Below are 23,383 nucleotides of genomic sequence, written 5' to 3'. Positions count from 1 at the left end.
CCATGCTGAGTGGGTGGTAACGGGGGTGATGTGGGGGCTATAGGGAATTCTCTTTAGGTGCTCAGGTTCTGGAGAGACGGCATGGCATGTGTGGTAGCGATGCTGATAACATGCCTCTCTCTAGGTTTGTGCTCCTTGTAATTTGCTCTCACCTTGTTAACGGAGGATAATATGTTGCTTCTTTCCAGATACAGTGTCCTCTGCTCAACTCTGGTAGTCTCAGAGTTTAAGAATAAACAACAAGTAGGGGGCTTGATGTTACATTTTATCAGGATTTCTATCCATGAGGTAGAGAGAGGGAATGTGTATTTAGTAATAGGCATGGCACTTTGAAAAAGTTACTTCATTTTCTGCTTCCTCAACTTTCTTATTTGGAGAATAAGGGTAACTTCAGTCTTACCTTATAATGTTGTTGTGAGAATTAAATGGCATTAAGCTTTGAGCATTTTCAACAGACGGAGGTGCATAATGAAGCGTTAGCTATGAAGACGATGACAAATAATGATTGTTGGGTGTTAGACCCTCTGCCTTTGATACCTCATTTAATTCTCAAAACCATTGTTTTAATGTAAGCATTTTCAATCTGTTTTACAGTTAGGGCATCTAGTTACAGAAAGGTGAAGTAACTCTCTCAAGGACACACAGCTAGTAAGCTTCAGAATAAACAGGGATTGAAACTTAGGTTGATCGGGCACCAAGGCTCCCACGAGTTTCCACACCTCTGCCTCCCAGTGGGCACATTTTTACTGGAACCTCAGCCCTCTGAAAGCTTCCACTGTATTCCTATAGCAGTTCTGAAAGCTGCCATTGTACTCCTATAGCAGATCTAAAAGCATCTACTGTGTTCCTATAGCACCTTGCCTGGATCTTTCTGGTGAATTTCCCCACATCCTGATTTTATTTTTTTCTTTTCAGCAAACTTTCCCCTGTAAATCCCTCCTTCAGTATAACCTTGTTAGCTTTGAGGACACACCCCTAGGCCTGGGCTCAGAGCGCTGCTTCTCCCCACCCCTTTCCTTTGCTTCAGTTTAAAGTGTCACGAGATGCCTCTGGTTCTCTCCCTTTGCTTTTAGCCCTCACCGGGGGCAGGAGGGACCAAGGCTGGGCCCAGAACACATAGTCCTAGGGTAACAGTGAAGGGGTCGTGAGGGGACAGTGACTCCCTTCCAACCCCTTCTTCATAGGGACTGTTGGCAAACAAAGAAAATCAACTGGGAAAATGAAGACCTGCTGGTAAGACAATAACCCTGGAAAGAGTGGTGGGGAGATGGAGCTGGGGGTCCTCAGAACCAAGGGTCTGTATTTTTGCAGCAGTGGTAAGATGAGAGTAGGTGAGCCTCAAGGTGAGAGACAGAAAGAGAGACGGATGAGAGAGTAAGACAAGAGGGCAAGCGTGAGAAACCGAAGACAGACACAAAAAACCGAAGACAGACAGAGGAAGGGAGAGAAAGTGACGGCCACAGAAAAAGAGAGGAAGGAAATCAAAGGTGAAAGAAACCAGAGACAAAGAAATAGGTACCAAAACAGTGAGATAGGTAGATACCGAGAAGGTGAGATCAATAAAACAACAACGACAGTGGGGTCTGGAAACATGAGTTCCTTACATCTCTCAGTAGGGTTTCAAAGTAAAAATGAAGGCTGGGTGCGGTGGCTTATGCTTGTAATCCCAGCACTTTGGGAGGCCGAGGCGGGCGAATCACGAGGTCAGGAGTTCAAGACCAGACTGACCACCATGGTGAAACCCTGTCTCCACTAAAAATAGAAAAAGTAACTGGGTGTGGTGGCACGTGCCTGTAATCCCAGTTACTCAGGAGGCTGAGGCAGGAGAATCGTTTGAACCCAGGAGGTGGAGGTTGCAAAGAGCCGAGATCGCGCCATTGCACTCCAGCCTGGGTGACAGAGCGAGACTCCGTCTCAAAAAAAAAAAAAAAAAAAAAAAGAAATGAAAAAAAAACTATACTGTGATTTGATCACCTTACATTAATTAGGTTTACTAGGTTTGAAAATATGGAAGTGTTTTCCATCTGCGGGGACTCCTGTTTCAGTCATTTTTCTTCTCTCTTCTTCAGGAAAATTCCAGTTTTCTTCTTTGTGTGCAGTTTCCTGGAACCCTGGGCATCTGCAGCTGTCAAGCGTCGCCCCAGTAAGGGCCATAGTTTCTAGACTTTCAAAGATCACTTATTCCCAGAAATGATCAGGCAGGGCTGTGGCTGACTGAAGACTGAGTGAGGCATTCATAGTCCTTCACACCCTCACTCTTCAATCCAGCTTTGGGGCACAGGGATACATTAGGTTCTGGTTTTCCATGGTCAATGCTGGGTATGGAAAGTAAGTCCTGTCAGTAATCACAGTTGGTAGGAAGGCCAATCTGTGAGCTGCAGTGCCTAGTGCAGTGCCTAGTACAGATGGTGATTGGTAAATGTTGGGTGAATACATGGATGAATGAATAAATAGACTGATGGATGGATGGACCTCAACAATTTGGGGTGAGGAGAGTATAAAGAGCATGTTTGATGTACCATTATGGTTAGGCCCATGCTTTTTTATATTTATATTTTTATTTTTTTGAGATGAAGTCTCACTCTGTCACCTAGGCTGGAATGCAATGACACAATCTCGGCTCACTGCAACCTCCGCCTCCCAGGTTCAAGTGATTCTTCTGCCTCAGCCTCCGAAGTAGCTGGGACTACAGGCATGTGCCAGCATGCCTGGCTAATTTTTTATATTTTTAGTAGAGACGGGCTTTCACCATGTTGGTCAGGCTGGTCTTGAACACCTGACCTCAGGTGATCTACCTGCCTCAGCCTCCCAAAGTGCTGGGATTACAGGCGTGAGCCACAGCGCCGGGCCTATGCTTTGTAACTGAATAATACTTTTTTTGAAGTCTAGAGAGTCTCTGTTGTCAGATGAATCTTAGCAAGGCACTGAGGTTGGATATTTCCAAGAAGCCTTCTGTGGTGGTGAAAAATCTCTCTTCCCTTTGACCTTCCATTTGTGTAAGGAGAACACAATTCCATTCTATGATTTCTTATCAAATTGAGGATTTAATCCTTCTCATGATTATTTTCTTCTTCTTTTTACTCTTCCCAGTTCTAAGATGTTAGGATTAATCTAGTCGGGACTTTTATTTGATCTCTTAGAACGAATTTATGAAATCAAATCCATCCTCTATATTTTATTTAGGATTAGTGAATCTCAAGACTTCCCCAGGCCCCTATATCTGACAAAGATTCCTAAGAACTCTACTCTCCAGAAGCCCCACTGAACTGGACCAAGGTTGGCTCTGGAATCTCACTGGAATCCTAAAATTTGTGGTGTTTAAGGAACATTTTCTAGCCCAAACCACCAGGAATTTTCCAAACAGATTTCTGACCCTGTGCCATTCAGGACACCATTCAGCTTTGGTTTCAAAAGGAACAAATGCCTAACCTCTTCAAAACGAACATTTTCCCAGCCAGATTATTAGAGCAACTTTGTGCCTTGCATCCACCCCTTCCAGGATGAGTTGCAGGTGGACAGATTATAATCGTAGAGGCATGGAGGTAAAGCCAAACACTTTACCTCTAAGCAAGCTGGTATAATATTGAATTTTAAATATTTATTATTATTGATACATCCTGAAATCTTTTTTTTGTGGTCAATTGCTATTTTCTGGTTCTAAATTTTATTATTATTATTATTATTTTATTTTATTTTATTATTATTATACTTTAAGTTAGAGTGGATGAAGTAGAATGACATGCTATCTCTTTTGCAGGATTCCCTGTCAATTCCAATTCTAATGGTGGAAATGAACTCTGTCCAAAGATCAGGATTGGCCAAGATGACTTACCAGGTGAGTAGCAATGTACCCTATTGAAAATGCATGCTTTCTATAAACCTGATTTTTTTTTTTATTTGGGAAAGTTGTGGAAAGAAATAAAACCAATCTCATTTTAGACTTTTCATTTTGTATTCCCATTCTATAGGGTTTGATCTGATCTCTCAGTTCCAGGTAGATAAAGCAGCATCTAGAAGAGCTATCCAGAGAGTAGTGGGATCAGCTACATTGCAGGTGGCTTACAAGTTGGGAAATAATGTAGACTTCAGGATTCCAACTAGGTAATCTATCAAAAATATTTTAATCTAATTATCTGACTCAAATGCATTAAAAATGGATAGCTATCCAATGTTAGAGTTTTCTTATGATCAATGTTTCTTGGATTATAATTGTATTTAAAGATGAAGAAATTTATTTACCTGCCTATCTTCAGTACCTTAATACTGCATTTCATGTTTTCAGTATGTAATTTACTTTCCATTCCAGGAAAAAGCATCACTGAGACTATTATACATTGATTCAGGACATGTTCTTATTACCTTGCTTTCTGTTTTTCTATAATTTGTCTGGTTTTGACTGAAAGGACCCTCTGTGAAAAGTGCCAGAGGGTAAGCATAAATTTAACTAGGAGCCACAGAGTGGTTAGAAGACTCACAATGGTGCTGTTCAAGTGTCCTGGTGCTGAAATGGAGCCACACGTCCACTGCTTGGCTTCTGGCAGACATCAAACCAAAGCAAAACTAAAATAATTATAATAGAAACAATGATAGTAATACTAACGACATCAAATCCTCCACTTCACTGATTTCTTTCTCTGGAACTAAGCCTTTTGCTCTTTATTTAAAACTGAGGTACTTTAGTGTGTAAGTGTTGAGTCCTGTCATCATTATGAATGAATCTCAGCAATTTAGTTTTGATATCACCTAAATACCTTATTTATGATTATGATAATTATTATATGCTTTAGCACACTATAAAAAAACTAGAATTAAAATTCCTTTAGTAGATAAATGAGACAATTAGGACTTCAATAGAAATTAAGTTATAAAGATAAATAATGATTAATTAGAACAATAAGATAATATAGAAACTCAATGTATATAAAAATAAAAATTTTGAACAAATTAGAAGAATCTGATATAATAGTACCAGATTACAGCTAGAAATTCATATTTTGAACCTACTATATATTATTGTATAATACAACAATAGTACATTATATGAGCTCTTTCTATAAATTTACTAATTAACATTAATTTCATTCTCATCACAACCCTGTGATATAGGGTCATTATTAACCTTTTTTTTCTTAAATCAGGGATCCCCAAAAGTTTAATTTACTTGCATAAGGTGAGTGGGTTGGAATGTGCTGGAAGGACTGAATCCCAGGCAGAATGGTTGCAAAGGTTTTACTTCTAACCACTACTCCATACTGACTCTGGAAAACCATTCACATCTGGAAAGATTAAAACCATGATAACAGTGAATTCACTTTTTTTTCCTCATAATTTCTTTTCATGTATGGAAGTGCCAGTCGTGTTGCTAAATAAGCTTTAAAAATTCAGTTTTTTCTTTCTTAAATAATTAAGCAAAACATGAGGTCCTCAGTGCTGACCTGATTTTCTCTTCTAAGGTTTGAGGTACTGTCATTAACTCTTAAGTTCAGAGATTGATTAATTTGATGCCACGTGGCTTCCTTACCTCCTGCTCATCTTCGTTGTTGTCTAGAGCTGTCACTAAATAATGTACCCAGGCTATATTTAATGTCTCACATTTGCTACCCTTGACTCCCTGCCCCCATAAGGACTAAAAAATCTTGTTTTACTGTCAAGGCTTGTTAAAAGATAAGGAAAGAAGGAGGAAGAAATTAGGAAAAGAAAGTAGGAGAATAAAAAGAGAAGGAGGAAAGTTAGAGACTCAGACATGTGGAATTCCAAGTAAACAGTAAAGTTTATTCTTGGGAAAGTACTTAGACTATCTTTACTTCAGTTCCCTCAGTTTAAAATTAGGAATAGTAACTCTGTCATGAGGTTGCTATGTAGAGTAGGTGTTCATAACTGGAGAGTGCTTCAAGAGCCCAGTCCACACTGGTATTGGGTAAGTGTTTATTATTAGTGGTGAAGAGCACTAGAAGGAGAAAATGCATGTATATGAAAGTCTTTTCTCCTTAGAGGATCCTTTCTTTATAATCTGCCTCCCAAGTCCTGCCAATTCAAAAGCTGGTTGACAAGGAGACTAGGGATGGGAATTGCTCTCGGCCATACGAGGTGTAGACAATGTTCCTATAAAGGGACTTTCTGTGCTACAGAACATAGGCTCTGAGACAGTGAAAGAAACTATTAGCAGGATCTTTGTGGGAGGAAAATATTACGGTATATGGAACTAATGTGACAGAGTCACAGTTTATCCTTATTTATCTTTTCTATTTTTTTTTTGAAAGACTTAAGAGACACATACTTTTTTTTTGCTGTTTTTTATTCCTTATTTTAAGCATAATCGTTTTACACTCTCAACTCCCACTAACAAACGTGTTATGTTTATTTTCCTTAAAAACACGGTCTTTTTTGGGTTAAGGTCACAAACAAATGTTTCAAGGTCCAAAGACTATTTAATCTTTCATTCAAACCCTTATGATTCTTCACTTAAGGTACTCTTTGAAGGCTGTAATATAATAAAATAAATCATTTATAGATACAGCTCCTTTTAAATTATGTATGCTGTCAAGTTTACTTATTGATGTGCATAGCATATTTGCAAGAACCGAATTTCGGGTATTCCAAGAAAAGACAATGGAGCTGACTGTTCTATAAATTAGACTTGTGAGACTTTTAAGTGGTCTTAGGTATATACAACTACATATATATTTTATTAGTATGAATACCAAAATAAATTTTCTCTTCTTACCATATTGACTACTATACTAGCCTAGTTTAAAGGATCAAAGATCAATAACATGATAATCTAAATTATTTCTACATATATTCACACACATATATTATCTTCATATATACGGAGAGAAAGAGACAGCTACCATTAGTTTAACGATGTATCTGTAATTGAGGTATTCATTTAGCAATCTCAAACCTACCCTCCATCATTTTAAATTAATTATTTTCTTTTTTAGTTTTTGGCATTACATACACCAAGTCAGAGATAAATTAAGACATTATGTTCTTTCCTACCTTTAACATAATCTCTTCATTGAGTGGGAAAGATTGAATGAAACACAAATTGGGAGAACTCCCTCAGTTAACTTCAGGTTGTATTTTCACAAGAGTCACCTAAACACATTACTGTGACTTCCAGAACTGAAACAAAATAGACTTTTTAAAGGAAACTGATTAAATTCTACAGTTTTGCTCAGTATATCTATAGTTGAAGCCTGGAAAAATAATGCTTAAGGAAGAGAAGAAGCAGCATTAGATTTTTATCTTCCTTTTAAAAAATCTCATGCTTCAACAATAACTATCTTGGACAAAAATAAAATAAATTATTTAAGCATCTGGTTAAATCCAAATCATTAATTAAAAATAAAAATCAAAATAATCTATTTATAATTTAAATGGACACTTGCCCAATTTCACAATTGAGTAAAACTTTGAAAATGTATCTCCCAGCTCCAAATTTATTGAGGTAAGTTAGGTAAGATGTACAAACTTCCATAAGGTTTTATAATTATACAATAGGCAGTGCATTTTATTGTGAATAGTGAATCTTAGCTTCTCTTCTAGAGGTTATTCCAGAATAGATATAATTCTGAAAAATATAAAGTCAAAGAAAATATGACAAACTGATTGATAAACAGGAAGTATATTAAAAACAAATATCTGGAGTCATGTAGTAGACAGTTTCATATGGGGAAAATAGGTCAGTCAATGGTTCTTGTATAATTTTTTTCTGTAGCTCCATATTGAATATTTTAAAATGTACACTTGAGGGATATAAAACATAGGTAGTGAACTGAAAACTTTGCAGTAAGATTAATACATGTCACCAGTGAAAAAAAGATGTATGGATAAAATAATTCATCCCATACCCTAAATACAAACCAGTCATATTACAAAGTAATGGTTAAAAAAAATACTTCTATGATGAAAGAGTATTCAGATGAAAAGTTAACCTTTTTGTTATCTTTAGAAAACTAACAAAGTGATAAAATTTGTTGAGATAGTTGACTTATTTTATTGAGGGCTTGTAAAAATATTTGTATAAAAGAAGTTAAAGATTTGTTTATGTTGTTATAAGACATAATAAAGTTTTATAATTAAAATCAAAGTAAAGATAGAAGATCTTAGCAAATTAAAGAGGGCTACATAACAAGAATTTGACTTGAAGGAAGGTTATTTGGGATTCTGGGTCCTGGTCCATAACTGTTCTCAGAAATATAAAATTTTTATTGTTTAGCACAGAAAATTCATTAGCATTTAGTTTGCCTAGCATTTCTTCCTTGCTTAGGAATTTTTCTACGCTTAGAAGGAGAAATGTAAAAAGACATAATGTTCAAGTCCTTGAAAGATGATGCTTACATTTAACATGCTGATTTTTAAAGTTCAGTCTTCAGCTTTTAGCAGCTTGGCTTCAGCAAAAGAATATCCAGGTAGCTGGTGCAGCTCCAGACCACAGTCTCTGTATAGGGTAGAGATGCCTCAGGGACACTACTGGTTTTATTCTGCCATTTAAAGCAGTAAAGGAGTTAGCAATGATACAGACTTAGTTGGCAGATTAAGGAACAACTGGGCCGGATGCAGTAGCTCACACCTGTAATCCCAGCACTATGGGAGACTGAGGCAGGAGGATCACCTGAGGTCAGGAGTTCGAGACCAGCCTGACTGACATGGCGAAACACCATCTCTACTAAAAATACAAAAAATTAGCCAGGCATAATGGTGGGCGCCTGTAATCCCACCTACTTGGAAGGCTGAGGCAGGAGAATCACTTGAACCCAGGAGGTGGAGGTTGCAGTGAGCTGAGATGGCGCCATTGCACTCCAGCCTGGGCAACAAAGTGAGACTCCATAAAAAAAAAAAAAAAAAAAAAAAAAAGAAGCAACAACAGAGTTGCAGTAGAGAAGTAAGAATTGGTCACTTTTCCCTTGCCACATATCCAGTGTCAAACTGCTACTTTAACATCATAATTTGAACTCCCTAAAAAAAGACAAACATCCTCAGTGTGAAGAAGCTCCTGAAGTCCTCAGTTACTGGTTCTCAAAATACTTATATGGGTCTGGGATATAATTGTGGAGTGGAATACCCAAGCAATTATGGAAATAACAAATAATCTTAACATGCTACTTTAAAATAAAACAATTAGAAGCTGCTAGCTGCTTTAATTAAATTGTTTCATAAGCTAGTACAGCTGATTTACATTCCTAATGATCTCCTCTCTCACTTGTGAATGAAATATTGCCAAGAACTTTGCAAGAATGTATTTTTTGGCTGAGATGAAATTGCTGAACAGTAGCTCTTTGGGTAGTATAAATAGTAATATTGTTGGGATTATGTGGCATTGGGAACCTTCCTTAGCCATGAGGGAGGGTGTTTTTAAAATGTGTAATTTAAGACGGACCATGAATGTACAGGAATGATTGAACTTCTGTAAAGGTCTTTATGAACAGTCATGAAAGAACAAACGGTACATAGGTTTTTACACTGTAGCTTTTCTATAGGTCTGGCATCTAAAATGGCCTCAAAAGGGAATGTGGTAAATACATATGGGTACAGGAAACAAGATGCATGTTTACTATTTAAAAATTTTACTCAGGAATTTATATCCCAGTGGACTGCCTGAAGAATACTCCTTCTTGACGACGTTTCGAATGACTGGAAGCACTCTCAAAAAGAACTGGAACATTTGGCAGATTCAGGATTCCTCTGGGAAGGAGCAAGTTGGCATAAAGATTAATGGCCAAACACAATCTGTTGTATTTTCATACAAGGGACTGGATGGAAGTCTCCAAACAGCAGCCTTTTCGAATTTGTCCTCCTTGTTTGATTCCCAGTGGCATAAGATCATGATTGGCGTGGAGAGGAGTAGTGCTACTCTTTTTGTTGACTGCAACAGGATTGAATCTTTACCTATAAAGCCAAGAGGCCCAATTGACATTGATGGCTTTGCTGTGCTGGGAAAACTTGCAGATAATCCTCAAGTTTCTGTTCCAGTAAGTATAAAACCACACACTATGGCAGATTAAAGCAAAACTAGATTGGTAAAAATGAACATCTCAAGCATCTTTGATAATCAGCTGAGTGCAGCATGTCCCAGATGGAATTTGGAATCAGAGGAAGTTAAGTAGATAGCTTCTGGTCTTGAGGAGCTTAAAGTTGGAAAGTGTTACATGCCCACCTAGTGCACCCAGAGTCTTTCTGAGGCAACTTAGAAAGAAAGCCATACTGATGTGGCACATATTGTGTACACATAACTAATAAAAATATTCAAAGTAAGGTTGAGGTAGGTGACAGATTCAGTTAGTCAAGAATCCCATGCTTCTTGGAAGCAATGCACTTTGAAATGAAAGGATTTGGATTGGCAAAAAGAGAGGAGAAAGTACATTATAGCTGAGGGAAACACCATTAAGGGAAAAAGTTAATAAGTAGATCACATTCAAAGGCCTAGGGACTCGCTGATTTGGATGATATATGTATATGAAAATGTGTGTGTGTGTGTGTGTGTGTGTGTGTGTGTGTGTGTGTGTGAAAGAGAGAGAGAGAGGAGGGTGAGACATACTATCTTCAGAGTGGTGAGAGATGAGGTTAGAAAGCCATATGATGTCTGGTCAACAAGAATGAAAGTTATATAGATGCATAATATTGATTTATTTAGAAGTAGGTCTTGCACGACGTATTGTAGAAGTGAAGGATTTTAGAGCTCTGTTCATGATTTTACTGCAGAGATCCCCAGATATAAAGGTAAGGAATTACATGTTGACACAATAATTGTGCCAACTAGTACAAGATAGTTCTATCATTTTGAATTGTTATACTTTGAGCAATGCTTTAAAAGGATGTTTTATAATATTATGATAGGAATTTAGAAAATATGTCTTAGAGGACAAGTGTTCTTTTGAAGGAAACAAAGGAATTTAGAGCTCAACAAATAAATCTTGAGGCCAACCTCTCTTTCTCTCTCTCTTTCTCTCATACTAGCACGGAGCTGTTAAATTCTAGTCACAAAACCCATATCACGGAGTGTAGCAGGGTGATACAATGATTTCAAATTGTTTCTGTGCATGTCTCCAAAGAAGAAAAGGTTATCAGGGATTTCAGTAATGGAATTGTTCAAATAACTTGTTTTCAAGGGAAGAATTGTGATTAGTGTGAAGGGTAGTGTGAAATTTCTATATTCTGTGATGGACGGGAAGCAATTTGTAACTGCCGTGTTACTGCTCTGGCTTGTAGACTCTTGAAAAAGTATTTCTTCATTTAATGAGTTATCACACCTCAAGTGGCTGAGTTAGAAAGCCGATTGGACTACTGTTATGCCATCTTGAAATTCTGTGCAGCAAGATCTTTGCAATGACACTGGAAAGGTTCTCAGACAACACTGAACTTCTGCAAATAGCTGTTCATTTCTGGGCCACGGGTGAAGGGGAAGATACTTTAGGTTACTTCCTCACTGTTACAAACATCAGTCAAGTATTTTAAACATTTATTTATTTATTCATTGGATTAAAAATACTTGTCTTTATAACACTAAATTCTGTGAGCTAAGATGCTATTAAATTGTCTTATTGCCAGAGCAGTAAGCTAAAGTCTCACTATTACTTCATTATACTATAGCCTTGCCAATAATGTCAGAGCTGATTGTAGATTTTTCTGCCAACTCTATTCTCACATCACAGTGGAGACCGGTTAGTACCAATTACTTTCTATTTTATTCTACCACATGCAGGAGTGTAACCAGAAACCTGGCAGCTGGTTTTACATTCTGATTCTGGTCCACCAAGGAGCTTTTCTAAATCAGTATACCATAGCCAATGTGAAAAATATTTGAAATCATCATGTACAAGTGTCTTCCTTCAGACTGAATTCTGACTCCCTTATCAGGAAACACAAAAAAGACTTGAGCCTAACAGCCCATTAACATTCCTCATTGGCTGATGATGGTGGAGGTGTGACAGTGACAATGATAGCTAAACTAGATCAAGGTTATAGGCCAAAACAATCCTATCCACATTTAACAACTGGAAGTGACAATGTGAAATTCAAACTTCTCACCAAAATGTATTTCTCAAACTTCATTTTAAGAATTAGAACACTATGTAAGGAAAGCCAACTTACACTTTTTTAAAACATCATCTTAATATGCTTAATATACCAATTCAAAGTTTTTGAAATGCTTTTATTCCCATTAACTTATTTGATTCTTGCAACAACCTTGTAAGATGGAAAGTAGAGATAGCATTATCTCCATTTCTCAGCTGAGGAAGTGAACTCATACAGATCTATTAACTTGTAAGAAATAGTGTTAGGCACAACATTTCTAATCTACCTTATCTTCTGCTATGCCAACTAGCTTTCCTTTGGGAAAAAGAAAAATATATGCAACCACATATTTTTCCTTATAAAGAATCTCATTATTCTTACTTCGAAAGGCATTTGTGATTTTCCTTCAGAATTTACTTTGCAGGAAAAACCAAATAAATTTTTAAAAAGTGAGAAGTTTGTACAGTATAAAACATGTCTTCAGACATTAATCCAACTTGCTTATTTACCTAGTAAACTTTCATTGAGTATGTAAATATTGGGCATACAAAGAGAAATAAATCACAGACTTTTTCTTCAGTCTGTTGAGAACAAGGAGTTGAGACAAGTAAACAATCATCACAATATAGCATGATAAGGACCATGATAGTGGCCAGTGCTGCATGCTAAGAAGCACATAGAAAAAAATCTCCTCACTCAGATAAGAGCAGGGAGGCATGAGAGTGGGGGCCAGGGATGTTTCCTAAGGGATTTGATGTCTGAAAGGAGTCCTGGGGATGAAAACATCATCTAGGAGAAGACAAGGTACAATGTTTCAGACAGATGGACTCTCATTTGGAAATTCCCAGATGGGTCAGTTCTTCCCTTTTCAAGCTTTGTTAGTGTTCCCATTTTGTTCCTCATTTTTGAAAACTGAAGGTAGTCAAACACTCATAGAAACCCATAGACAAAGCCTGTGTGTCCATGAGTTGTCCTTAGTCCCTTGTTTTAATTTTATGGCCTATTTTCTTAGAATTCTCACCAGTTTGGTTGAAATCTGAAGTTGCTGACAATTGCTGAAGATGAACAATGACTACCTGTCCCTTAGAAGACTTAGAGAGTGATGGGTAGTGATATGGACATATTCTGAGAGGCAGAAGAACTATACTGATAGATCACCCTTCTCTCAATTTGGAGATGGCAAATATTCAATATTACTATGTTAGAAATTTTAAATGAAAATGAAATAGCATAAAAATACCATAAAAACAATAAGAAAAAGTGTGGTTTTACATTTTCCTTCATGCAATTGCATTCATTCTAATCTTTGACACTCTACATTAATTGAATACTTTTTTCAGAGTCGAATCTTGCTTTTCTTTAGTAAATAAATCAAAAGCAAAATATCCCTTCTAAAGGGATTATCAGATGTCAAAAAGTAACCCTAGGAACTTCATAATAAGAAATGCAATTGGAAACCACATTTGATAGATCACTGATGCTAAGAGTCACTTATATGGTACTTGTTTGCTATTTTCCCCCTGCCTATCCTATCTTTCATCCCCTTTCCTTTTCTAAGTTGAAAAAGGAAGCCAATTTCAAAGGGTTTTCATAGGCTTGTGATATAGCTGTTCACATGGTCTACCACTCAAACATCTTCTCATCATTCATGGTTACTTAGTGGGCTCAGAGCATTTTATATTTTTTCCCAATGCACTGCTGTAATATGTTGTTAGTTTGATTTTAAAGCAATAAATCCCATATATTTTATTCTCCTTTGTGCCAATATTTTAGGATGGTGCCATTTATCCCACTGCAAAGCTTGGTTTCCTGGCAGCATACCATAAAAACATGTTATTTTATGACAGATTCTTTATTGTTTGTTGTCAGCATGATAGCCTAGGAGAATTATTTTGTACAGCTCTATTAGAAAACAAAGTTGGCCTTTCTCCCTTTTCAGAGATATATGCTGGGAGTTTGGGCTTGTTTGAGGGGTGATTAAAGTTTATGTGGCTTAACAAACATATGATTCAAACCATCCTTCTTTTTACCTGAGCATATTCCAAAGAAGCCAACATGGAACGTGATTAATCGGACAGACTTACTGGTTTAAAAAGTATATTATCAAATGCGTGGCTCTGTGTTTATTTTCACTAGATTCAGAGAAAATGTGAGAGCTGGTAAAACCGTTGTTGGAAAAGCTATATGTACTTTTCTCCATCCACAGAATTGAATCACGCTAACTTCCAAATGTAAAAACAATATAAGTTTCATGAATTATAACATGGGAAAAATAAATTATGAGGCTGTGATTAATATTATTTCTGATATTTGAGAATTACTATTGGAAAGTTGTGTTTCTGGTGATTTAGGAAATGCATACTATCTATTATGCATAAAACTATTAAGTCTGCTTATTAAGTTGTTTTTGACAAGTACATCTTTTACAAATACTCTTTCAGTTGGAAGTAAAAATTAAATTAAAAAGAAAAATGGGAATATTTTCTATACATATCGTTAGGAAATATTTTTATAAAATTTTGATTTGATTAAAACAGTTTTGAGTGCTGTCAGAACAATTTTATTTTATATTTTGGAGATGAAACTCAGCCTGCTGCGTTGTAGACCACATTAACAACCTCAGCTGGATTTTCCACTAGGTGGCAATGAAATGAGGAAACACAGAACTAGAGCTGGTGACACAGCAGAAGCCATGATTGGAAGTAGGGGCTGTGGATAGCTAGAATAAAAACTGAATAATGATCAAACTTTCTTTTAATAGAAAACTAAAAACACTGAATTTTTTTATTGGCCTCAGCTGTGCCCATAGTGTTGCAATAAAAAAAATCAGTGTGCTATTAGATTTTTATTTCTATAAAAATATACATGGGCTAAGACCATAAAGAAATCTTTGTTCATGTTAATCTCTGCTTGGTTAGTTTCTTTGGTTCCAGTGTGGTGTCAGTAGAATCATGGGCTTTCAGAGCTGGAGGAAACTTTGCATCTAATCCAAACCTCTCAGTTTATCATGAAGAAACTGGAACCCACACAGGGGAAGGGAATTGCCACAAATAATGATCAAACCAGAAAGGCAAATACTATCAGTTCTTTCTTCACTATATTTCTTATCCATCTCTATATACTCATTCATTAATATTCAGTAACTATTAAACATCTGCTAAGTTACAGGCCTTATTTTAGGTGGTGGTGAAAGCAGAAAAAATTAATGCTCCAATGTCGCTTACATTCTGTGTAAAGAAGACAGATACTGTAAATACATAAGTATATGTGGAGGATGCCAGGTGGTCATAAATGCTATGGGGAAAAATGAAGCAGGATATTGGAGTGCCTTGAGTGAGGGCCTCATGGAGAAGAAAATATTTTGGCAGAAACCTGAAGAAGTTGAGAGAATTAGCATCTGGATATCTGGGGGAGGAGGATTCCAGGAAAAGAGAACAGTGAGTGGAAAAGGGTCTGGTGTAGGTGTGTGATGTCTGAGAACTCCCTGGCAGCCAGTGTGGCTGGAATGAGACTAAGAAAGGAAGTATTGAGGTTGGAGAGGTAACATGATGGAGATGTGGTTGAGAAATTGTGTTAGTACTTTGGCTTTCACACTGTGTGAGATGGGTGGCTACCAGGTGGTTTTGAACAGATAAGCAACATGTTCTCATCTTTCAAAAGGATCTCCTTGGCTGCTATTTTGATAATATATTGTAGGAGAAGGGAGAGAAGGACATAAGAGTGTAGGAGCAAGGGCTACTTAAGAGCTACTGCAATAATTCAGGCAGAGACAGCCTTGGTTTAGACCAGGGTGGTAGTGGTGGAGGTGATGCAAAGTGATCCAAACCTAATATATTTTGAGGTAAGGAAAACAGGATTTGGAGTATGAGAGAAAAAGAGGAATCAAAGATGACACCATTACTTTAGGCGCGAGTAATTGGAAGTATAGACGTGCCATTTACTGACATGAGAAACGCTGTGGGAAGAGCAGGTGTCAGGGAGAGTATCAGGAGTTAGTTTGGGTTTTGGAGTTAGTTTGATCGTTACTAGACATCTAGATGAAGTTGGTAAATAGGCAGATATATGCTTTCGGAGTTCAACAGATAGGTCCATCTGGGAATAGAACTCTGGGAATTGTCAACATACATATGGTATTTAAAGTCAGGAAATCACCAAGAGACAAGTGTAATATAGAAGTCCAAGAACTGAGTCCTGAAATATCTCTAAATGAAAACACTTAGAGATTGCTGAGATGAGGAACATTTGTCAAAAGAGATTAAGAAGGAGGGATCTGTAATATAGGAGAGGACCAGGAGATTGTGGTGCCCTGAAAGTCAAGGGAAAATAGTATTTCAAAAAGGATAGAATAAGAAACTGACTCATATGCTGTAGATAAGTCAAGTAGTTGACCATTGGATTTAGAAATCAAAGAGAGTGATCTTGAGAAAAGACCCATTGGAGTGTTGGGAGTGAAAGCCCAACTGGAATGGGTTCAAGAGAAAATGAGGAGAAGAATTGGAGACAGTAGTTGTAGACATCTTTTTTGAATTTTGTGTAAAGAGGAACAGAGGATGGCAGCTGAAGTGGTATGTAAAATGTGGGGAGGATTTTTCTTTTTATCTGACAGATAACTTAGGATGCCTCATCATAGTTCAGAGTGTAACACTTCTTGTTGCTTTACTGCGGTAGCCTCCTTCTGCCTCAAAGGATTAGGCATTTATGACCAAATGAATTTCCTCAAAATGCCCTCTAAATCAAGGAAGCTTTCCCCATCCTTATCTTTTGCAAAAAAAGTCTTTCAATGACAATTTAATAATAATATACCAAATAATATTTAAATTCCTTAGCCCTGAAGTCAAGGTGAAAAAAAAATCGGATGTCTACTCTGCCCCAGCAAATTTGGTCTCTTCTCTATATACCACTTCCTACCCTTGGGACTTGTTGTTGTAACCCCTCTATGTAAACCCTAATCTTTACCCTCCGTGTCTCTGCTTATAATAACAGAAGTGGGGCTTCAGGGCCCCACCCATATATGTGCATGCACATATATGCGCGTGTTATATGATCCCTTCATTGATGACCTGAGCCAGAAAAATATTTCTGTCATCTCCACTGCTATAGTATTTATCATCAAATCATTTTCTGCTTAGATACTGCCTTATATGGTAGACATTTTTGTGTCTTTCATGGTGTCTATCCCAAAGCACATGAATGTGTTATATGAAAATACGTTGAATAAATAAATGAGCATGTCTCCGGTCTACTAACTCCAAGTTTACTGCTTTCTCCTTTCACCATTCTGCTGTAGCCTTTGGTACAGTATTGCGTTAAATATGAGTGCTGCCTACATCCCTAGCACTATGTCTGGAACAGCCGGGTTTAGTCTACATAGAATTAGGAAATTTTCTAATTTTGAGGCAGCTCAGAGCCTCCTGCTCAGTAATCAGGAAGCTTCACTTGGAGGAGGTCTTTCATGATGGTATAAACTAACATTTGGTCATAAACTGAAAGGAAAGATGAGATCTGAGGATTCAAGTATTCTTTTAAATCTTTGTTGTCACTGAAGACAAAAGCTTAATGAAACATCTGTCCTATTAAAGAGCTAGTTTTTTGGTGTTTTATAGTTGTAAAATTTAATCATAATTCAGTTTGCAGAAATCAAACCTTGTGCCAATCTCATTAACACTGAGCCAAGTTTCATAGCCATTAACATTCTCTCTCAGGAGGAAAAGATAGTTGTCTGCAGTTAGTTTTTGTTTAGTTCTTATGAAGGACTTAAATACCTTATTAATCTTTCTTAACAACCTGGCAAAATAAGTAGAAATCGTTAACCTTGGTAAAAGAATAGAGAGTTGGGGCCAAAATTCCTTGCTTAAATGTATTGTCAGCTGGGCATTACTGTAACCTTGAGGATTGAATTATACCTTTACATTGTCCTATAGAAAATAATTGAATAGGCCAGATTCGGTGGCTCACACCTTATAATCCCAGAACTTTGGGAGGCCGAGGCAGGCGGATCAAGATGTCAAGAGATCGAGACCATCCTGGCCAACATGGTGAAATCCCGTCTCTACTAAATATACAAAAATTAGCTGGGTGTGGTGGTGGGCGCCTGTTGTCCCAGCTACTCGGGAGGCTGAGGCAGGAGAATCGCCTGAACCCAGGAGGTGGAGGCTGCAGTGAGCCAAGATTGTGCTACTGCACTCCAGCCTGGCAACAGAGCGAGACTTCATCTAAAAAAAATAAAAAAGAAAGAAAGAAAGAAAAGAAAATAATTGAATAATCCTAAATCTGGGCAGATGTGAGGAACCTTACATTCACACACTACTCATTTCTCCTTGAGACAATGGAGAAATATTTTATGTTGAGAAGGATGGCTTTTGCTAGGGCATTTTATATTCTGTTTAGTAGATTTAAAACAAACTTATTTATTTATTTACTTGTATTTTTCTTGTCTTGCAAATTATAAACCCAGTGTGGAGAGGGGAATATCTTTGGTTTCACCAGAATGTTTCCTTAGTGTTTGGCTTCTATTGGGACATCACAAATGTTGACTAAAGGACTAAATTAGTTGTAAACATCACTGTACTCACACCAGCCAAAAGGACTAAATTATTTTTCACATATACTTTGTCAGTGAGTATTCAAAGAGAAGAATGATTCCAGGTATGAAAATGAGAAATGTGTGAAAATCAGCATTTTACATGTATAACGCAAGTGACTTTTACCAAGGCACTCTGCCAATCTTCCTTCAAAATAATCAGCATGCAAATTGGAATTCATATTTCATGCCAAAAAACGGTTGTTGTATAGATGATTATTAGCGTGTAGGTGATGTTTATGTGGATGCGCAGATGTGTTCAGAAACTCTTGATCTATGTGGCACTCTGAACAACCCAGCCTGTATTCACAGATGAATTACATTTCATTCCCCCATTATCCTGTGCCACAATTGCAGCTTGCATATTTAAACAGGTGTACCAGTTTATCCAGAGAGAATTACATATTTGAGAAAACAGTTTAATGAATTACCTCACATTTGCAATAAGTAACTTTAATGAACTATTGAAACAAAAGATATAGGTTTTCTGGTTAGCCAAAACTTCCTTTTGTTAAACTTTCCCTTCCTCTGTGGGTAGGAAGGAAAGACTTCATTCTTCATTGTCTCTCCAATTTTGATCTTCTGTCCAGTGATCTCAACTGTGGATGATTCCAAAACAGTGAAAAAAATTATGTAATTTCCCATTCTAGGTTTAGGAGCTCTAGAATCCATTTGGCAGGTGGGATGACATGGAAATCTCTATTGCATGAAAGAAAAGAAGTAATGCTTAGATCTAGGACCTGGATGCTTACCCAGACATTTGCATAACATCAATGACAAAGAAATATGGATCCAATTTGAAATGCCTAGCAGAAAGCTCCTTAATTAAGAGATACCAGCATGGTTTGTGGCTATAGGCTTCCTATGGGATATGACATTTTAATTTTTTTTGCCTTGTCACCTGAGGATCTTTTCAGATTCAGACCTGGCAACATTTTCCTTGCTCTGTTTGTTTCCTGCTACCCTCTTTTTTATCCTGTAACACCTGCTAACAATGTAAGAAGTTGTCAGAACACATTTGGATTTCAAGTGTCTAGAAAGTTACATCTTTTCAACCAATGAATAAGATTATAAAAAATTAAATATTTTATATCTTTTTCTCCTGAGTCTTATATTTCCTTCTCACTGCCTTCATCTTCAGTCCTTACATTTCCATTTTAAGCTGTGACCACTCCACGGAGAATATCTTCTCCAGTGTGCAAATTTTTTCCAAGACTAGATTTTCTTTCTTCTACTTGTCCTTCTGATTGCCACTTTTTTTTTCTGTCTCTAATCTCCCATCTAAAATCTTACAGCATATATTCCCTGTAGAGTTCAATAGCCCTGGGTTTCAACCCAGACTCTGACACTTATTGGTTTGTGACTTGGACCGTTTCTGTTCTCTCTGAACCTCATTTTAGTAGGATCTACATCTTGAGATTGTCATCAGAACAGAAATAGAAAGTCAGTGCTGGTGGTCTGTTTCCAGGCTAGGGGTATGCTGAAATAATTCAAAGCTAAAGACATCTATACCTAATAATCAGAGAAACTTGTGAAAGCTTCCAACCCATTTCCATTAGAAAACTTGTATTCAAGGAAAAGCAAGAGTCCTGGTCCAGTGTGCTCAACCAGTTCAAGTTGATTTCCAATTATTTAACAATTAGACGCAACTCATCTCTCTCTTGAATGACCAGCTTCAGTCGTCCAAAAAACCTTACCTGACTGTCTACTACCTTTCTCCAGTTTGAACTTCAATGGATGCTGATCCATTGTGACCCCCTGCGGCCCAGGAGAGAAACTTGCCATGAGCTGCCAGCCAGAATAACGGTGAGTCCCCTGACTACCTGCAAAGGCCACTTCTACCCAGCTCAACCCTCTCCACCTCACCACTTTCCCATCTTGCCACCTCCCCAGCACCCCTCCTCCCCACTCTCTTTCGCTAAGAGAGCCTGTGCTTTGCTGTACTGACTAGAGAAATATTAGGGAAGTACACTTCATACTTTCGACCTGGCGGGTAGAAACCACCTGCAGCCTGGCAGGTAGAAACCACCTGCGGGTGTGTGGTTGTCCCTTTGGTAGCTTATGGACCCTCCTCCCTTACTCTCAAACATGTCCAAGAACACTTGAGTTCTACTGGCCAGCACTGGCACAGGCCACCCGGGAAGTCTCCGAGGACAGCCAGAAGCTGCACTGGGGTGGATGGGATGGAGGCAGAGCTGCGTGCTCAGTCCTCGCCTGTGCGGCGGCAGGGAAGGGGTTAAGGGCGACTGTTGTCATTCTATCCGTCCTCCCCTGCCCCCTAGCTCTCCTCCAATCCCAGGACCCTCTCCGGGGCCATTCATAAACAGGGGGAACGCGCGCCTCCCGGGCCTGGACGCTTTGGCAACCGCTACTCCCGGGGGTGCTTTTTCTGCAGGGACGAAGTGCCACCTATGCTAGTGGCGGGTCTGGAAGCCTAGAGGGGAACCAGGCTGCAGAGCCGGGCCAAGGGATTAGCGGCGGGCGGCGGGCATGGCCTGGACTGCGCGGGACCGCGGGGCCCTGGGGCTGCTGCTGTTGGGGCTCTGCTTGTGCGCGGCTCAAGTAAGTTGCGATCGAGTTTGAGGGGTGCTTTTCTCACTTTCTCCCCATCTTTTCTTCTCCAGCCCAGCCAGACCACCGACGAGGTAAGTTGGGGGCAGGGAGTGTTTGCATTTTTCAAGCGCACACGAGGACAGGTCGGGGCGCAGCGGTCGAGGGAGCTGTGAGAAAGGCGCGGAGCATCCCCAGGGCTCTCAGACCCGCGCTTCCTCCAGCCTCGAGCACCTGCCGCGAGTCCTATCGAAGTCCAGAGCCGTAGATGACCCCTTGGTCTAGGAAGGGGGGCTCCTCCCCAATCTGGGTCCTCCCTACTGCAGGCTCTGGCGCTGAAGGTAATAGGTGACTGGAGACCGAGGTTTAATTCTTAGCCTGTTATTGCTTCTTACTTCCCGCACCTCACCCCCTCCCCCGCCCCACCTCCTGGTCACTGTCAACAGCAGGCCTTGCTGGAAAAGGCGGGAATCCAGGCACGCTCCCTCTCCCGCTCCTCCAGCCCGCCGTAGCTGCACTAACCCCGAGTCCAGCTAGCGGTGCTGGCGGCTCCGGGACGGAACTTGGCGGCCCTGGCTTCCATCAGCATTTCAGCAGTTTCCCAAAGGCTCCAGCGCCTCCCGCCTCCTGCGCGAGGGAGGACCCGGCGGGGGCGCATAAGCCCAGCTGAGGTTTGAGGTTTCACTTACAAAGACCCCATTGTAACCTGTTTGGTCGTTGGAGTTTAGAAAAACAAAGTTTTCCTTGATGAAAGAGTCTCTTCTTTTTCTTTTTTTAATTCAGAAGGGTAAAAACAGCCCCACATTCCCTAAGCAACACGTTTATACTATTTCAGACGCCAGCATTCCCTCTAGCACCATCAAAACGCAGCTGTTTGCAAGCGATAAAAGGGGTCACGCCCCAGGGTCAGTCTGAAATTTGGTGTAATTTTGAAGTGAGATGCAAAGACCTAATTCAAGGGACTGAGGGAGTGTCACTGCAGGTAAAACTGAAATGAGGCCAGGCACTGGTCTCAAGGCTGCCCTGCCCTACTCCTCCCAAATCTTTTCCTCAAGTGTACGCCCCGCCTCCCCATTCTACTGGACAAAGATCCTGGTGTGGAGTCTCTGTTCTTGGCTGTTCCATTCTGGCCAAAACACTGACCTGCAATGACTGATAAATCGAGGTATCGAATGAGCCCCATTTTCATTTTTGTATCCTTTTGAGGATACAAAGGCGTTAGACCCTTCCTTTTCCACAACTCCTCCTGGGTTTAATGCACTCTGCAGAGGTGAGAACCAGTGAAGCCTCCCCCAACCTTGGGGGCGTCAATCCTGCTCTAGCCCCACAGTTTAGCTCATTAGAATATGGCGGAGACCAAAGCTGCGCTTGCTTGGAGGTCTGAGACATTTTTGCGTTGGGTTGCAAAACCCGGCCTCCTCTGGAAGGTAACTTTTACCCCACGGAGGCGGGGGCTTCAGGGCACCGCGCTCAGTTGCTCCCTGTTGCCCGATGTGCTCCACTAACCTATGTCTGCTATTTTTGCCAGAGAGGTCCCCCGGGTGAGCAGGGTCCTCCCGGGCCTCCGGGCCCCCCTGGAGTTCCAGGCATCGATGGCATCGACGTAAGTTTCTATCTCCAGGCCACCTCTGTTCCCCAGTCCTGCCCTTTCCTATTCTTTTCCCAGGGCTCCTGTGGGGTTTTTTTTTTTTTCAGAGAGGACCAGGGTCTCCCCTTCCTGCCACCCCACTTAAAGGCAGGATCAGACATGGGCGAGAGTTGGGGGTAGGATCCTAGGAACCCGGGGATTTTTGGAGGGAGAGGTGTCTCTGTTGTCCTTGTTGGTCATGAACCTCCACGTTTGACCCTTACACCATCCCCATCTGTGAAGTGAGCTCTCCTGGGATTGTCCCAGTGGGGTCCTCAGCCTATCCCGCTCATAGACTGCTCTCTCTTTTTCTCCTACCCCTCCAGGGTGACCGAGGTCCTAAGGGCCCCCCGGGCCCCCCGGTAAGTTGATTGGAGCATATGGCGCTCCACTTCCTTCCTTTAGACGTGTTTTGCAGCCCCCTGTTTCTGAAGGGTCTCAACTTTGCACCTTTTTCTCTCCTGCCCCCGCACCCTTCTGCCCCTGCTCAGGGTCCTGCAGGTGAACCGGGAAAGCCAGGAGCTCCAGGCAAGCCTGGCACACCTGGCGCTGATGTGAGTAGGCGAGTGCTGGGAGGGCGCCCAGCCTGGGGTGTGTGGTGGGTA

General features: G+C 39.7%; 1 protein-coding gene across 10 annotated transcripts in view; it reads left to right on the top strand.

The window, feature by feature from the left end:
* COL9A1 (collagen type IX alpha 1 chain) overlaps positions 1,060 to 23,383 on the top strand; it is an 88,024-nt gene continuing 65,700 nt past the window's right edge. For 6 of the 10 annotated variants that reach the window (NR_165185.1, XM_047418180.1, NM_001377290.1 and 3 more), the window contains exons 1-4: positions 20,947 to 21,163; positions 22,680 to 22,754; positions 23,105 to 23,140; positions 23,270 to 23,332. Coding sequence is in view for 9 of the 10 variants with exons in the window: in XM_047418180.1 (XP_047274136.1) it covers positions 21,092 to 21,163; positions 22,680 to 22,754; positions 23,105 to 23,140; positions 23,270 to 23,332 (246 nt within the window). In the remaining variant the exon portion in view is untranslated. Of the gene's footprint in view, positions 1,234 to 2,069; positions 2,144 to 3,757; positions 3,836 to 3,968; positions 4,102 to 9,580; positions 9,978 to 20,323; positions 20,408 to 20,946; positions 21,164 to 21,225; positions 21,247 to 22,679; positions 22,755 to 23,104; positions 23,141 to 23,269; positions 23,333 to 23,383 lie in introns of those variants that run through there. The other 4 variants (XM_011535429.4, NM_001851.6, NM_001377291.1 and 1 more) reach the window with 2 other exon arrangements.

Source organism: Homo sapiens, chromosome 6 (assembly GCF_000001405.40).
Source record: "Homo sapiens chromosome 6, GRCh38.p14 Primary Assembly".
In the NCBI taxonomy this organism is placed as follows: domain Eukaryota; kingdom Metazoa; phylum Chordata; class Mammalia; order Primates; family Hominidae; genus Homo; species Homo sapiens.
The sequence above is the reverse complement of the archived record's forward strand: the minus strand, read 5'-3'. Positions and strand labels throughout refer to the sequence as shown.